Source organism: Homo sapiens, chromosome 3 (genome assembly GCF_000001405.40).
Source record: "Homo sapiens chromosome 3, GRCh38.p14 Primary Assembly".
In the NCBI taxonomy this organism is placed as follows: Eukaryota; Metazoa; Chordata; class Mammalia; order Primates; family Hominidae; genus Homo; species Homo sapiens.
In genome coordinates, this window is record NC_000003.12 from 34,424,478 (window position 1) to 34,441,507 (window position 17,030).

The 17,030-nt window shown below is 38.6% G+C and overlaps 1 long non-coding RNA gene across 11 annotated transcripts in view; it reads left to right on the plus strand.

Moving 5' to 3' along the window:
- Positions 1–11,619, plus strand: part of LINC01811 (long intergenic non-protein coding RNA 1811) — a 276,733-nt gene extending 265,114 nt beyond the window's left edge. For all 11 annotated transcript variants that reach the window (NR_183677.1, NR_183681.1, NR_183678.1 and 8 more), the window contains one exon: positions 10,816–11,619. This is a non-coding gene — a long non-coding RNA (long intergenic non-protein coding RNA 1811). The remainder of the gene's footprint in view (positions 1–10,815) is intronic.
- Positions 11,620–17,030: the final 5,411 nt, after the last annotated feature.

Below are 17,030 nucleotides of genomic sequence, written 5' to 3' on the forward strand. Positions count from 1 at the left end.
ATGCCAATAATGACTAGATGCACATCTACAACCCAAATTTGTTTTCTAATTTTGGGTTTGCTTATTTAATGGCTTGCTGGTCATCCCCACGGTGGCCTTTGCTTCATTCTGAAATCAGGGAACTATGTCTACACTGGAGCTGTTGATTCTTATCCACAGTCTGGGCTCCCAACTGTCCAAAGAAGTATGTAGTCTGAGCTGTACAAATCTCTCACTCCAGTCTTCTGTCTCCTCCAGAAGTCTTTTTTCTCATAAGTTGATCAAAGTGTTTTTTAGTTTGAATGGCTGATTTGCTTTGCAAAAGGCGCCAGGAGTCCCTGGAACTCCATTCCTTATGCTTACCTTCTGGTTCCCTGTGTCAGAGACTGCCTAGCTCTTCAACAAATCCATTTTTTTTTTCTTTTTGTGAACATAGTTAAAGATTCCCCAACCTGCTTTGCAGTGGCTGAATGGAAGGTGATATAAATAATTTCCAGACCTGACTCAGAAAAACCTCCTTTGAGATGTTTCATTTTTTCTCTTTATTTCCCTATGGCTGAAGGGAGAGGATTCAGATGCCCTAGGGAAGGGTGGAAACAAAAATAACTACATAGTGCAAAGCCTGCCCCATCTGTTCTGACTCTTATTGAACTTTTCATAGTAAGAAGTAATTATATTGTACTAAGCCACCAAAATTTGGGAGTTTGCATGTTATAAAAGTAAGCCTACATTAGCCAATACAGTCATACATCACTTAATGATGGGGATACATCTTGAGAAATGTGTCAGGTGATTTCATCACTGTGCTAATATCATAGAGTGTACTCACACAAACCTGGATGGTACAATCTAACTGCATGCCTAGGCTGTATATTTTAGCCTATTGCTCCTAAGCCACAGACCTGTAAATATGTTACTGTACTGAATACTGTAGAAAATTATAATACAATGGTAAGTATTTGTGTATGTAAACATAGAAAAGGTATAAGAAAAATATAGTATTATAATCATATGGAACAATTTTTGTATTACGTGGTCCATCATTGTCCAAAATGTTGTTATGCAGCACATGACTGTATACCCATATTTCCTAACAGTTAACTATTGTGTAGAACTTAACATGTCCCATTTACTTTATTAACTTATTTACTATTCTCAAAAACTACACAGGGCACACATGAATTATTAACATTCTTTTAAAGATGAGGAAATTGAGGCCAGAGAAGTTAGGTGTCTAGCTTATGATCATATGACAGGTAAAAACCTTATGTAAACGCTCTTAACCACTATAGACAGTTTCAAAAGAGATGTGTAGTAGGCAGAATAATGGACCTCAAAGGATGTCTATATCTCAATCCCTAGAACCTGAGTATATGTTACTTTATAATGCAACAGAGACTGTGCAGATGTGATTAAATTGTAGATGTACAGCTGGCAGAATAATGGAGCCCCCTTTGGGGTCCAGAATAATGGATCCTCCCTTTGTCTATATCCCGATCTCTAGAACCTGTGTATGTGTTACTTTATAAGGCAACAGGGACTGTGCAGATGTGACTAAATTAAGCACCTTGAGATGGAGAGATTGTCCTGGGTTATTTGAATGAACTCAATTTAATCGTTAGCATCCTTCAAAGTGGAAAGGGGAGGTAAAAAGGTAAAAGTAAGGCAATGTGAAAATAACTCAATCCACCAGTGCTGGCTCTGAAAATACAAGAGGACCAAGGAATACAGGAACCCTGTAGAAGCTGAAAAAGGCAAGAAAATTGCATCTACAGGAACACAATCCTATTCACAGTTGCTACAAAAAGAATAAAATACCTAGGAATACAGTAAACCAGAGAGGTGAAAGAGCTGTACAATGAGAATTACAAAACGCTACTCAAAGTCATCAGAGATGACACAGACAAATGAAAGAACCTTCCATGTTCACAGATAGGAAGAATCAGCATCATTAAAATGACCATACTGCCCAAAGCAACTTAAAGATTAAATGCTATTCCTATCAAACTACCAATGACATTCTCCACAAATTTAGAAAAAAAACTATTTTAAAATGCATGTATAGGGAACCAAAAAAGATCCCAAATAGCCAAGTCATCCTAAGCATAGAACAAAGCTAGAGGAGTCACATTGCCCAACTTCAAACTATACTAAATGTCTGCAGTAACCAAAACAGCATGGTACTGGTACAAAAACAGACACATAGACCAAGGGAACAGGATAGAGAGCCCAGAAATAAAGCCACACACCTACCACTATCTGACCTTTGACAAAGCTGACAAAAACAAGCAGTGGAAAAAGGATTCCATGTTCAATAAACGGTGCTGGGAGAACTGGCTAGCCATATGCAGAAGATTGAAACTGGAGCCCTTCCTTACACCATATTTAAATATCAACTAGAGATAGATAAAGGACTTAAATGTAAAACCCACAATTATAAAAACACTGAAATATAACCTAGGAAATACCACTTTGGACACAGGAACTGGCAAAGATTTCAGGACAAAATCGCCAAAAGCAATTGCAACAAAAGCAAAAATCGACAAATACAAAATAACTAAACTAAACAGCTTCTGCACAGCAAAAGAAACAATCAACAAACAGACAACCTATAGAATTGAAGAACATTTTTGCAAACTATACATTTGACAAAGGTCTAATATCCAGAATCTACAAGGAACTTAAATGCACAAGCAAAAAACAACCCCATTAAAAGTGGGCAAAGGACATGAACAGACATTTCAAAAGAAGACATACATGCAGCCAACAAGCATATGAAAAAATGCTCAATATCACCGATCATTAGAGAGATGCAAATCAAACCCACAATAAGATACCATCTCACATCAGTCAGAATGGCTATTAGTAAAAAGTCAAAAGATAACAGATGCTGGTGAGGTTACAAAGAAAAGGGAACACTTACACACTGTTGGTGAGAGTGTTAATTAGTTCAACCATTATGGAAAGCAGTGTAGTGATTCCTCAAAGAACTAAAAGTGGAATTAACATTTGACCCAGCAATCCCGCTACTGGGTATATGCCCAAAGGAATAGGAATCATTCTACCATAAAGACACATGCATACATATGTTCGCTGCAGTACTCTTCACAATAGTGGAGACATGGAATCAATCTAAATGCCCATCAGCAGTAGACTAGGTAAAGAAAATGTGGTACATATACACCATGGAATACTATGCAGCCATAAAAAGAATGAGATCATGTCCTTTGTGGGAACATGGATGGAACTGGAGGCATTAATTTTATTTTATTTTATTTATTTTTTATTTTATTTTTTTTTAACTTTAAGTTTTAGAGTACATGTGCACAACGTGCAGGTTTGTTACATATGTATACATGTGCCATGTTGGTGTGCTGCACACATTAACTTGTCATTTAACATTAGGTATATCTCCTAATGCTATACCTCCCCCATCCCCCCACCCCACAACAGGCTCCGGTGTGCGATGTTCTCCTTCCTGTGTCCATGTGATCTCATTGTTCAGTTCCCACTATGAGTGAGAAATGCGGTGTTTGGTTTTTTGTCCTTGCGATAGTTTGCTGAGAATGATGGTTTCCAGCTTCATCCATGTCCCTACAAAGGACAAGAACTCATCATTTTTTATGGCTGCATAGTATTCCCTGGTGTATATGTGCCACATTTTCTTAATCCAGTCTATCATTGTTGGACATTTGGGTTGGTTCCAAGTCTTTACTATTGTGAATAGTGCCGCAATAAACATATGTGTGCAAGTGTCTTTATAGCAGCATGTTTTATAATCCCTTGGGTATATACTCAGTAATGGGATGGCTGGGTCAAATGGTATTTCTAGTTCTAGATCCCTGAGGAATCACCACACTGACTTCCACAATGGTTGAACTAGTTTACAGTCCCACTAACAGTGTAACAGTGTTCCTATTTCTCCACATCCTTTCCAGCACCTGTTGTTTCCTGACTTTTTAATGATTGCCATTCTAACTGGTGTGAGACGGTATCTCATTGTGGTTTTGATTTGCATTTCTCTGATGGCCAGTGATGATGAGCATTGTTTCATGTGTCTTTCGGCTGCATAAATGTCTTCTTTTGAGAAGTGTCTGTTCATATCCTTCACCTACTTGTTGATGGGGTTGTTTGTTTTTTTCTTGTAAATTTGTTTGAGTTCATTGTAGATTCTGGATATTAGCCCTTTGTCAGATGAGTAGATTGCAAAAATTTTCTCCCATTTAGTAGGTTGCCTGTTCACTCCGATGGTAGTTTGTTTTGCTGTGCAGAAGCTCTTTAGTTTCATTAGATCCTATTTGTCAATTTTGGCTTTTGTTGCCATTGCTTTTGGTGTTTTAGACATGAAGTCCTTGCCCATGCCTATGTCCTGAATGGTAATGCCTAGGTTTTCTTCTAGGGTTTTTATGGTTTTAGGTCTAACATTTAAGTCTTTAATCCATCTTGAATTAATTTTTGTATAAGGTGTAAGGAAGGGATCCAGTTTCAGCTTTCTACATATGGCTAGCCAGTTTTCCCAGCACCATTTATTAAATAGGGAATCCTTTCCCCTTTTCTTGTTTTTGTCAGGTTTGCCAAAGATCAGATAGTTGTAGATATGCGGCGTTATTTCTGAGGGCTCTGTTCTGTTCCATTGATCTATATCTCTGTTTTGGTACCAGTACCATGCTGTTTTGGTTACAGTAGCCTTGTAGTATAGTTTGAAGTCAGGTAGTGTGATGCCTCCAACTTTGTTCTTTTGGCTTAGGATTGACTTAGCAATGCGGGCTCTTTTTTGGTTCCATATGAACTTTAAAGTAGTTTTTTCCAATTCTGTGAAGAAAGTCATTGATAGCTTGATGGGGATGGCATTGAATCTATAAATTACCTTGGGCAATATGGCCATTTTCACGATACTGATTCTTCCTACCCATGAGCATGGAATGTTCTTCCATTTGTTTATATCCTCTTTTATTTCATTGAGCAGTGGTTTGTAGTTCTCCTTGAAGAGGTCCTTCACATCCCTTGTAAGTTGGATTCCTAGGTATTTTATTCTCTTTGAAGCAGTTGTGAATGGGATTTAACTCATGATTTGGCTCTCTGTTTGTCTGTTATTCGTGTATAAGTATGCTTGTGATTTTTGCACATTGATTTTGTATCCTGAGACTTTGCTGAAGTTGCTTATCAGCTTAAGCAGATTTTGGGCTGAGACGATGGGGTTTTCTAGATATACAATCACGTCATCTGCAAACAGGGACAATTTGACTTCCTCTTTTCCTAATTGAATACCCTTTATTTCCTTCTTCTGCCTGATTGCCCTGGGCAGAACTTCCAACATTATGTTGAATAGGAGTGGTGAGAGAGGGCATCCCTGTCTTGTGTCAGTTTTCAAAGGGAATGCTTCCAGTTTTTGCCCATTCAGTATGATATTGGCTGTGGGTTTGTCATAGATAGCTCTTATTATTTTGAGATACATCCCATCAATACCTAATTTATTGAGAGTTTTTAGCATGAAGTGTTGTTGAATTTTATCAAAGGCCTTGTCTGCATCTATTGAGATAATCATGTGGTTTTTGTCGTTGGTTCTGTTTCTATGCTGGATTATGTTTATTGATTTTCGTATGTTGAACCAGCCTTGCATCCCAGGGATGAAGCCCACTTGATCATGGTGGATAAGCTTTTTGATGTGCTGCTGGATTTTGTTTGCCAGTATTTTATTGAGGATTTTTGCATCGATTTTCATCAGGGATATTGGTCTAAAATTCTCTTTTTTTGTTGTGTCTCTGCAAGGCTTTGGTATCAGGATGATGCTGGCCTCATAAAATGAGTTAGGGAGGATTCCCTCTTTTTCTATTGATTGGAATAGTTTCAGAAGGAATGGTCCCAGCTTCTCCTTGTACCTCTGGTAGAATTCAGCTGTGAATCCATCTGGTCCTGGACTTTTTTTGGTTGGTAAGCTATTAATTATTGCCTCAATTTCAGAGCCTGTTATTGGTCTATTCAGAGAGTCAAGTTCTTCCTGGTTTAGTCTTGGGAGGGTGTATGTGTCGAGGAATGTATCCATTTCTTCTAGATTTTCTCGTTTATTTGCGTAGACGTGTTTATAGTATTCTCTGATGGTAGTTTGTATTTCTGTGGGATCAGTGCTGATATCCCCTTTATCATTTTTTATTGCGTCTATTTGATTCTTTTCTCTTTTCTTCTTTATTAGTCTTGCTAGTGGTCTATCAGTTTTGTTGATGTTTTCAAAAAACCAGCTCCTGGATTCATTGATTTTTTGAAGGGTTTTTTTGTGTCTCTATTTCCTTCAGTTCTGCTCTGATCTTAGTTATTTCTGCCTTCTACTAGCTTTTGAATGTGTTTGCTCTTGCTTCTCTAGTTCTTTTAATTGTGATGTTAGTGTGTCAATTTTAGATCTTTCCTGCTTTCTCTTGTGGGCATTTAGTGCTATAAATTTCCCTCTACACACTGCTTTAAATGTGTCCCAGAGATTCTGGTATGTTGTGTCTTTGTTCTCTTTGGTTTCAAAGAATATCTTTATTTCGGCCTTCATTTTGTTATGTACCCAGTAGTCATTCAGGAGCAGGTTGTTCAGTTTCCATGTAGTTGAGTGGTTCTGAGTGTTTCTTAATCCTGAGTTCTAGTTTGATTGCATTGTGGTCTGAGAGACAGTTTGTTATAATTTCTGTTCTTTTACATTTGCTGAGGAGTGCTTTACTTCCAACTATGTGGTCAATTTTGGAATAGGTGTGGTGTGGTGCTGAGAAGAATGTATACTCTGTTGATTTGGGGTGGAGCATTCTGTAGATGTCTGTTAGGTCTGCTTGTTGCAGAGCTGAGTTCAATGCCTGGATATCCTTGTTAACTTTCTGTCTGGTTGATCTGTCTAATGTTGACAGTGGGGTGTTAAAATCTCCCATTATTATTGTGTGGGACTCTAAGTCTCTTTGTAGGTCTCTAAGGACTTGCTTTATGAATCTGGGTGCTCCTGTATTGGGTGCATATATATTTAGGATAGTTAGCTCTTCTCGTTGAAATGACCCATTTACCATTATGTAATGGCCTTCTTTGTCTCTTTTGATCTTTGTTGATTTAAAGTCTGTTTTATCAGAGACTAGGATTGCAACCCCTGCCATTTTTTGTTTTCCATTTGCTTGGTAGATCTTCCTCCATCCCTTTGTTTTGAGCCTATGTGTGTCTCTGCACGTGAGATGGGTCTGCTGAATACAGCACACTGATGGGTCTTGACTCTTTATCCAATTTGCCAGTCTGTCTTTTAATTGGAGCATTTAGCCCATTAAATTTAAGGTTAATATTGTTATGTGTGAATTTGATCCTGTCATTATGATGTTAGCTGGTTATTTTGCTTGTTAGTTGATGCAGTTTCTTCCTAGCCTTGGTGATCTTTAAAATTTGGCATGTTTTTGCAGTGGCTGGTACCGGTTGTTCCTTTCCATGTTTGCTGCTTCCTTCAGGAGCTCTTTTAGGGCAGGCCTGGTGGTGACAAAATCTCTCAGCATTTGCTTGTCTGTAAAGGATTTTATTTCTCCTTCACTTATGAAGCTTAGTTTGGCTGGATATGAAATTCTGGGTTGAAAATTCTTTTCTTTAAGAATGTTGAATATTGGTCCTCACTCTCTTCTGGTTTGTAGAGTTTCTGCCGAGAGATCCGCTGTTAGTCTGATGGGCTTCCCTTTGTGGGTAACCCGACCTTTCTCTCTGGCTGCCCTTAACATTTTTTTCTTCATTTCAACTTTGGTGAATCTGAAAATCATGTGTCTTGGAGTTGCTCTTCTCGAGGATTATCTTCGTGGCATTCTCTGTATTTCCTGAATTTGAATGTTGGCCTGCCTTGCTAGATTGGGGAAGTTCTCCTGGATAATATCCTGCAGAGTGTTTTCCAACTTGGTTCCATTTTCCTCGTCACTTTCAGGTGTACCAATCAGATGTAGATTTGGTCTTTTCACATATTCCCATATTTCTTGGAGGCTTTGTTCATTTGTTTTTATTCTTTTTTCTCTAAACTTCTCTTCTCACTTCATTTCATTGATTTGATCTTCCATCACTGATAACCTTTCTTCCAGTTGATCAAATTGGCTACTGAGGCTTGTGCATTCATCATGTAGTTCTTGTGCCATGGTTTTCAGCTCCATCAGGCCCTTTAAGGACTTCTCTGCATTGGTTATTCTAGTTAGCCATTCATCTAATTTTTTTTCAAGGTTTTTAACTTCTTGCCATGGGTTCAAACTTCCTCCTTTAGCTCAGAGTAGTCTGATCATCTGAAGTCTTCTTTTCTCAACTCATCAAAGTCATTCTCCGTCCAGCTTTGTTCTGTTGCTGGTGAGGAGCTGCGCTCCTTTGGAGGAGGAGAGGCGCTCTGCTTTTTAGAGTTTCCAGTTTTTCTGCTCTGTTTTTTCCCCATCTTTGTGGTTTTATCTATCTTTGGTCTTTGATGATGGTGACATACAGATGGCGTTTTGGTGTGGGTGTCCTTTCTGTTTGTTAGTTTTCCTTCTAACAGTCAGGACCCTCAGCTGCAGGTCTGTTGGAGTTTGCTGGAGGTCCACTCCAGACCCTGTTTGCCTGGGTATCAGCATTGGAAGCTGCAGAACAGCAGATATTGGTGAACAGCAAATGTTGCTGCCTGATCGTTCCTTTGGAAGTTTTGTCTCAGAGGAGTACCCAGCCGTGTGAGGTGTCAGTCTGCCCCTACTTGGGGGTGCCTCCCAGTTAGGCCACTCGGGAGTCAGGGACCCACTTGAGGAGGCAGTCTGTCTGTTCTCAGATCTCCAGCTGCGTGATGGGAGAACCACTACTCTCTTCAAAGCTGTCAGACAGGGACATTTAAGTCTGCAGAGGTTTCTGCTGCCTTTTGTTTGGCTATGCCCTGCCCCCAGAGGTGGAGTCTACAGAGGCAGGCAGGCCTCCTTGAACTGCGGTGGGCTCCACTGACCTCGAGCTTCCTGGCCGCTTTGTTTTCCTACTCAAGCCTCGGCAATGGTGGGCGCCCCTCCCCCAGCCTTGCTGCCACCTTGCAGTTTGATCTCAGACTGCTGTGCTAGCAATGAGTGAGGCTCCGTGGGCATAGGACCCTCCAAGCCATGCATGGGATATAATCTCCTGGTGTGCCGTTTGCTAAGACCATTGGAAAAGCGCAGCATTAGGGTGGTAGTGACCCGATTTTCCAGGTGACGTCTGTCACCCCTTTCTTTGACTAGGAAAGGGAATTCCCTGACCCCTTGCACTTCCTGGGTGAGGCGATGCCTCGCCCTGCTTCTGCTCATGCTTGGTGCACTGCACCCACTGTCCTGCACGTACTGTCCGACACTCCCCAGTGAGATGAACCCAGTACCTCAGTTGGAAATGCAGAAATCATCCGTCTTCTGCGTCGTTCATGCTGGGAGCTATAGACTGGAGCTGTTCCTGTTTGGCCATCTTGGCTCCTCCCCCAAGGCATTAATTTTAACAAATGAATGTAGGAACAAAAAATACTGCATGTTCTTACTTATAAGTGAGTGCTAAATGATGAGAACACATGGGCACATAGAGGGAAACAACAGACACTGGGGCCTACTTGAGGGAAGAAGTTTGGAGGAGGGAGAGGTTCAGGAGAAAAAAGAAAAAACTGTCAGGAACTATGCTTAGTACCTGGGTGATAAAATAATCTGTACATCAAACCACTGAGTCATAAGTTTACCTATATAACAAACCTACACATGTACCTCTGAACCTAATATAAAAGTTAAAGTATTAAAAGGAAAATGGATTCTAGAACTTTCATAAGGGAACACAGCCCTGCTGACACATTGACCTTAGCCCCATGAGACCAGTGTCAGGTTTCTGATCTACAAAACTGTAAAATAATAAACTTGTGTTGCTTTAAGCCATTAAATTTGTGACAATTTGTTACAGCAGCAATAATAAACTAATATGAAATATGATGGAGAAAAATGGTCTCTCACCATGGGTAGAATTCAAATTTTCTGCAAGTTTATGAAAAACAAGCTTGTCATTAGATAATCCTGCTTAACTGGTAGACTATCAATACCTACTGTGCTCAATTTCTTTTACTTTTTGTTCTGTTGTTTTCAGTTTAATCAAAAGGAGTGTTTTTCCATTTAATTATTCATAAAATTTGCATGTTAAGAATGAATAAGTATAGATGTCTAATTTGGTTAAAAACTTTCAAATAGTGATTTTATCCTAAATAAATACACTCACTAAATAAACTTTAATATTCTCTGTTGAACTACAATAAGCTTCTTAACCAATTATTACCCATTAAAAGGTATGACATTTCATGAAAACCAGATAAAATATGGCACATGGAGAACACCATTTTTTTATGCTCTGTTAAGAAATACACAGTGTTAAGAAGTGCATAGAGCTAAAACTTGAATTCATGTGGAAAATATCTCTCATAATTTAAATACACAGGGCAGGATGGCTCTTCTTACCCCATTACCACCAAATGAAGGATACCAAGACAAAGGATAAAGGAAGGGGGATACACAAACAAACATCCCTTTTTACCACGAGTTTTTATTCATATTTCTAGAAATCTTTTCTAATATCTCATGATGCTTAATGACATTGTTTTCTTTATGAATGTACAAAATACAGCTTTGAGAAATGAGAGGCAAATAGTGATCATAATGGGAGAGGTAGTGATCTACAAAGATCACATGGTTAGTTACACCTGGTGCTGGGTTCTAAAGCCAGATGGCCTGGCTCCAGTGCCTAAACCCTGACTGCTGTGTGGCACTGCCTCATGGCTGCACAGTCTAGTAGGTAAGATAAGCACCTGTTTCCAGAGATCAGAGTGTGTTTCATCAATTCATTTTTCGTTTGATGCAGCTGAGGCGCATATTGGACAAAAATCACTTATCCAAGACCACGTTACTACAACCCCAGGGCACAGAAGCTAAGTCTTCCTATTGTACTGAACTCAGTTGACTGGAATTTGTTCAGGAAAGCATGAAGTCAAATGGAAGCTAGTCCGTGACTGGATTCATCTTTTGGTAAAAAACGAAGAGGAGACCCCATATCCTGGAGGTTCTTGCTTAACCCTGTCCCTAATAAGACCTAACTTTATGAGTCTTCTCCTTAGAGGCAGTCCTAGGGTAAGAGTGATTATTCCTGTGAGCCTTGTAGGTACTTTCGAATCAAGGAAATTAGTAGTTGATTGCTAATTAATTCAGTATTTAATGAATTTAAGTACCTAGGCAATGAGGCCACAATAGCAAATAAGACACAGACCTGTTTTCAAAAAGTAGCCTGTAAATAAGATATTTTTTTCTGCCATGGTGGCAAAGGCATGACTATGGTGATGAACATTCATAGGCTCACCTTCTAGCTCTGTTGTATGTTAACTGTGTGAACTTGGGTCAAGTTATGAAAACTCTAAGAACTCTCAAAACTCCTGATCTGTTTTAACATGAAAGTAAAGATATCTAATTGAATTGTTGTGAAACTTAAATGTAATGTGACATCCAAAGAATGTAGCCCAAAGTTGGATTTCAGTAAGTGATAAATAGAAGTATTTAAACATGGGTATGGTATGTTCTGTAACAGAAGAATGTCTATGTGCTGGGGATACCTAGAGACAGTGAAAATTCTGTCTGGCCTGCGAATTATAATAAAATGACTCTTTAAAGTCAATGAGTCTTAATATTTTCTCACATCTACTTTTCTTTTTCTTTCTTTTTTTTCTTTTCTTTTTTTTTTTTTTTTTTTTTTTGAGATGGAGTCTCACTCTGTCACCCAGGCTGGAGTGCAGTGGCACAATCTGGGCTCACTGCAACCTCTGCCTCCCAGGTTCAAGCAATTCTCCCACCTCAGACTCCCGAGTAGCTGGGATTACAGGTACACACCACCATGCCTGGCTAATTTTTGTATTTTTAGTAGAGACGGGGTTTTACTATGTTGGCCAGGCTGGTCATGAACTCCTGACCTCAGTTGATCCACCCACCTTGGCCTCTGAAAGTGCTGGGATTACAGGCCTGAGCCACCGCGCCCAGCCTCACGTCTACTTTTTAAGATCAAACGCCAAATCTTTGCCACATCGAATTTCTGGTTGAGTTACATTTGGTAGTGGGTATGAGAGGTAGTATGGGAGGGAAGTCTTGAGTCTAGAGACTTCCAGAACATTCATAGTCCTCTATATTTCTGTCCCACTCTTGCTCTGAAGTAGGAGGAAACATCTTTCCTTGACATTGGCCTCTGGTTCACACACTGATTCAATTTTTGTCCATGCTTTTTGGCATATCTCATTTAATTTTCACAATTCTGAAATGTAGAAATTATACTATTTTTTACAGGTATAAAAGGGTGACTTTGTAATAAGAGCTCAGGGCTGTGGACTGTCCATGAAATGAGGAGGGTAAATGCAACTCTATTTCTTCAGTTGATTTTTTTTTGAGACAGAATCTCGCTCTGTCTCCTGGACTGGAGTGCAGTGGCATGATCTTGGCTCACTGCAACCTCCATCTCCCAGGTTCAAGTGATTCTCCTGCCTCAGCCTCCTGAGTTGTTGGGATTACAGGTGTCCACCACCACAGCTGGCTAATTTTTGTATTTTTAGTAGAGATGGGGTTTCACCATATTGGCCAGGCTGGTCTCGAACTCCTGACCTCGTGATCCACCTGCCTTAGCCTCCCAAAGTGCTGTGATTACAGGCGTGAACCATTGCGCCTGGCCTCAGTTGATTTTTAATGTCACTGGGGCAGCTTTAAGTTTGTGCCTGTGATTGGAGTTCTGGTCCCATGACAAGACTCCCTCTTTGTAAGAGCAGCAGGGATGGCCATGATGGAACCTGACTTTATGAGTCACTGATAATTTCGATCTGCTACTGCACAGTCTCTTCTTGACACAAAGAAGCCCAGAGTGCTGAGTTCTGGAGCTTGTGTGAATAGTCGTGTGTTCTCGAGCTTGGTAGTGTGAGGATCTCTGAGAACTGTGCAAAGTCTTTCACAACTCAGGCATCCTTTCCTTGCTTTCTTTTCAGCTGAGCATGAATAGCCTGCACATAAAATACATGCTTTATGTATTTTATGACTTTTACGTTAAAAAGTCTAACCACAACCAACATATGCAACACTTTTTTTCTCCTGGAAATAGGATATACCAAAAAAAAAAAAAAAAAAAGTCTGTGATGAGCTGGTACAATCAGGGATTTGGAGATGAATGAAAGTGCTATATTATGCATGTTTTATAATATATTATTTACATTTCATTGAGCGCTTAGTGTGTTCCAGGCTCTTGGATTGTAAAGAGATGAAGAAGATACAATACTTGCCCTCAAAATCTCAGTCTATTTCTCAATGAGCAAAAAAAGAATTTAGGTTGAACCATATAGAAATGCTGATATCTGATGACATATTTTGAAAAAGAATTTTTATTATTTTTATATACAGAAACCTCAACAGTATACATTTAACCAAGTTTAGTGGAATTTCTTTAGCTTTTGCCTTTTGCAGCTTGGCAATGTGAGCCACAGATTTTGGACTGGGGTCATGCCTCCCCAGTGATGTTAAATCTTATACCTGTATGATTTTTGATTTCCAAAAACCAAACAGACATTGCATGAGATTCAATGTGCTACGTGTAAGAACCAAGGTAGGGAAGTAATTACAGATCTGTGCCTCACAGTAGTAACACTGAGTCCTTATTATATGCTGAGAGCTTTATATAAACCACTTAATTTGTATAACAACTAGCAGAGGTGAACACTAGAGTTGTTCCCATTTTGAAGTGAGTAAACTGTGATTTAAGAAGAGCAAGTTTGGCTAATGGCAGGTGTCAGAGCCAGAGTTTCACACAGGTCTGTCTTACTGCAAATCATTTGGTCTCTCTGAGCCTCAGTCTTATTACCTGTAAAATGAGAGGAAGGATACAATTCCTCCCTTCATTATTTTGCAGTCAAATTAAACTTTATTGAGAAATGACATTAGTTTATATAGCACGTGTAAATCCTCAAAAATCTATATGTAATTAAACCATAAGAAAAGTATACTTTTTGAGGAAAATCAATATTGCACTTGTAGGAAAAAACCCTATATATAAACATGCAAACTCTAATTTTATTTTGGTTGGTTAGAAGAAGAATGATTCATGGTACTAAGTAGGGGTAAAAAATTCAGAGGCCTCATGGTGTAGAGCAAGTTTGCTAACAATAGCGAATGGACAGATCGATAGCAAATCCATTTTAGAGAACTCGCTCATGGAGAGTATTGATATCTAACTTGGTCATTTCTCCTGTGAGATAAATAGGCACCTGTCTCTGTGTGAGGAAAACCACACACAAGAGCTGGGGTAATGTTTCTAAACAATTAATTGGCTTATTATCGAGGCTTAATGGATTGGTTCAATACATTCACAGAAAGCCATCAAGAGAATTATGCTAGCAGTTTCCTTGTAGCTGCTATCAAAATATACGACAGGATATAGGGGTTTTAAATTATTATTACTTTTTACAGCATCTGCATGCATCATTTACATTATAAATTGGGCCTATTCGAAAGCTATTGACTAAGTCTTTAGCTTTGTTTCAAATAACAAATATGGTACACATTGTGGCATCTTAGTTCCTAGGGAATATGATATAGCTACTTAAATTGTAAATGAAGCCATCAAAACTGTTCGATTCTTATATTCCTACAAAATATTTATAATGCAAGGGTTTATGTCAGAGGTATGAGAAAGACCCTGTGATGCAGTTTAACCTAGCCACTGGAAAAACATAGGTATTTTCTTCATGGGAAAGAAATGTTGGAAGAGAAATATAATGTTTGCAAACACTTGCCCTCAGAGAATAATCTGCCCTAGATATAGATTTTTTTAAAATTGCCAAACAAAATATTTCTTTGAGAAGCCACAAACAGATGTAGAGGGAAGATCATGATTCAGTGAAAATTTATTGATTACTCAGTATGTGCAGGTATTTCATACACATTATCTCATTAATCATTAAAGCAAACGTTTGAAGTGACATATTCCATATGATGAAGGTTGAGGCAATAGTATTTTAAAGAGTTTGCGAGGCACACCCAGGGTCATAGGACAATTAGATGGGAAAGGGATATGATCAAACTTGACTTTTGATTTTAATTTCTTTTTTCTTCTTCCATGATTATTGTGTATATTACTGTTAATTCAGCTCATTGAAAGGGTGATGCAAATCTATGGAAAGAAGCCATTAGGTTGCCCATGTGGGAATAAGAAAATAGGAAACTCATTTTGTGTTAAGGTTAGAGTTTGTGTCAAAACCAGAGTACTTTCCTCCCAGTAGAGTCCCCAGATCTAGTACTCAAATATCTAAATGACCAGGCTAGCAGGATGTTTTACCTATCCCCATTCAAAAGCCCTGTCTTTTTTTTTACATATCTCTGTGAGATTACTAGTGCCTTGGAATGGTAGTGGTCCAGGGTAGTGTTGAATCTAACTGTGGGTATGGCATTTAGATATAAACTGCTTGGCAAGTGCTAGTACCCTAGACAAGTTGAGGGAAGTCAAAAGCAGCAGGCCTCTTGGATGCAGAATCGTACCCTGCTCTGAGCATTGGACTTGGTCCAGAGAGAACCACACGCAGGTCTTACATGAAATCCCAAAGGCATAGCCCTTTTAGTCACCTTTCCTGGGTTTCAGAGACATATTCTGGGTGGGATATCTCATTTTCATGCATGAGGCTAACAGAGTTGCCATTTGGTGGAGAAAATCTTTGATGGATATTCATCTCACTTCTTTTATGTTACACACTAATTTCAAAGTTTCTCCTCTATTAAATCACATTCACAGGCACATTCCCAAGAAATTCAGGTCAGAACAGGTTTCTCCTTAGCCTGACTGACTTGGTAAAGGGGCAAGCCCATGGATCCTTCTGCTGTCATGGTAATAAGTAATTGTGCCGATGTAATTAATCAAGATTTTTTGGCCTAAGAGAAAAGAGATACAAGTAAACATAAATGAAATAAAAACTCTATGATATAAAATTTGAAGCAGAACTATCTCATGATATGCTGATTGTTTCATCTTATCTCATTCTTAACCTGTCCACTAATCTGTCTAGGCTTTTATAATGGCCTAGAATCAATGACAACCAAGTAGTAATGAGCGCCCCTAAGGTGCAGATTGTGGCGTCTAAGCATAACGGAAGCAGCACTCTCCAGATATGATTGATTCCAGGTTTTGGAAAGAAAATATGCAAGGCGAGTCTTTGCATTTTACTGTAGTAGAAAACTAAAAACTAACAAAGACAAGTAAGATCATTTAAAACAAAATAGGTGCCAACTTAAGGGAGCTCCTACTGGCCCAAGATGCAACAATTTGATCTTCAAAATGAATAATGATTGCAATGGAATGAAGCACATAAAATATATAAAAATCTTAGTTTCTAATTATAGTAAAAAATCAAAGACTAATTTAAAAAAAACTCATCGGTCATCATAAGAGTTTACTAAAGCACAAACTGATTACTTTTGGATTTTATTATTAAGGCAAAATAAGCATTCATCCAGACTCTTCTATATGAACTGTATTTCAGATTCCATGACACAGTTTATGAGGAAGACTTCCTTAGAGAATTATTACTACTAGGACTTGCAGAAAGAATGATAGAATTACAGAAATTAGACTTTTGCAGTTCTTTTTTTTTTTACCTTTATTGGGTTATATTTGATAAATAAAACTTGTATATATTTGAAACAAACAGTGTAACAGTTTGATATATGTAAACATTGTTAAACAATTGACACAATCAAGCTATTAACACATGCATCACCTTGAATCATTACCACGTTTTTGCGGTGAGGACGATTTATTCTCTTCAAATTTCAAGTGTACAATACAATATTTTCAACATATATTAGGTCCCCAGAACTTATCTTAAAGGAGGTTTGTTTTCCTTTGACCACCATCTTTCTATTATGCCCCTCCAATCCCCTAGCAACCACCATTCTGCTCTCTGCTTTTATGAGTTTGACTATTTAGATTCCACGTATAAGAAAGATCATACAGTATTTGTCTTTCTGTGTCTGCTTATTTAACTTAACATAATGTCCCTCAAATTTATCCAA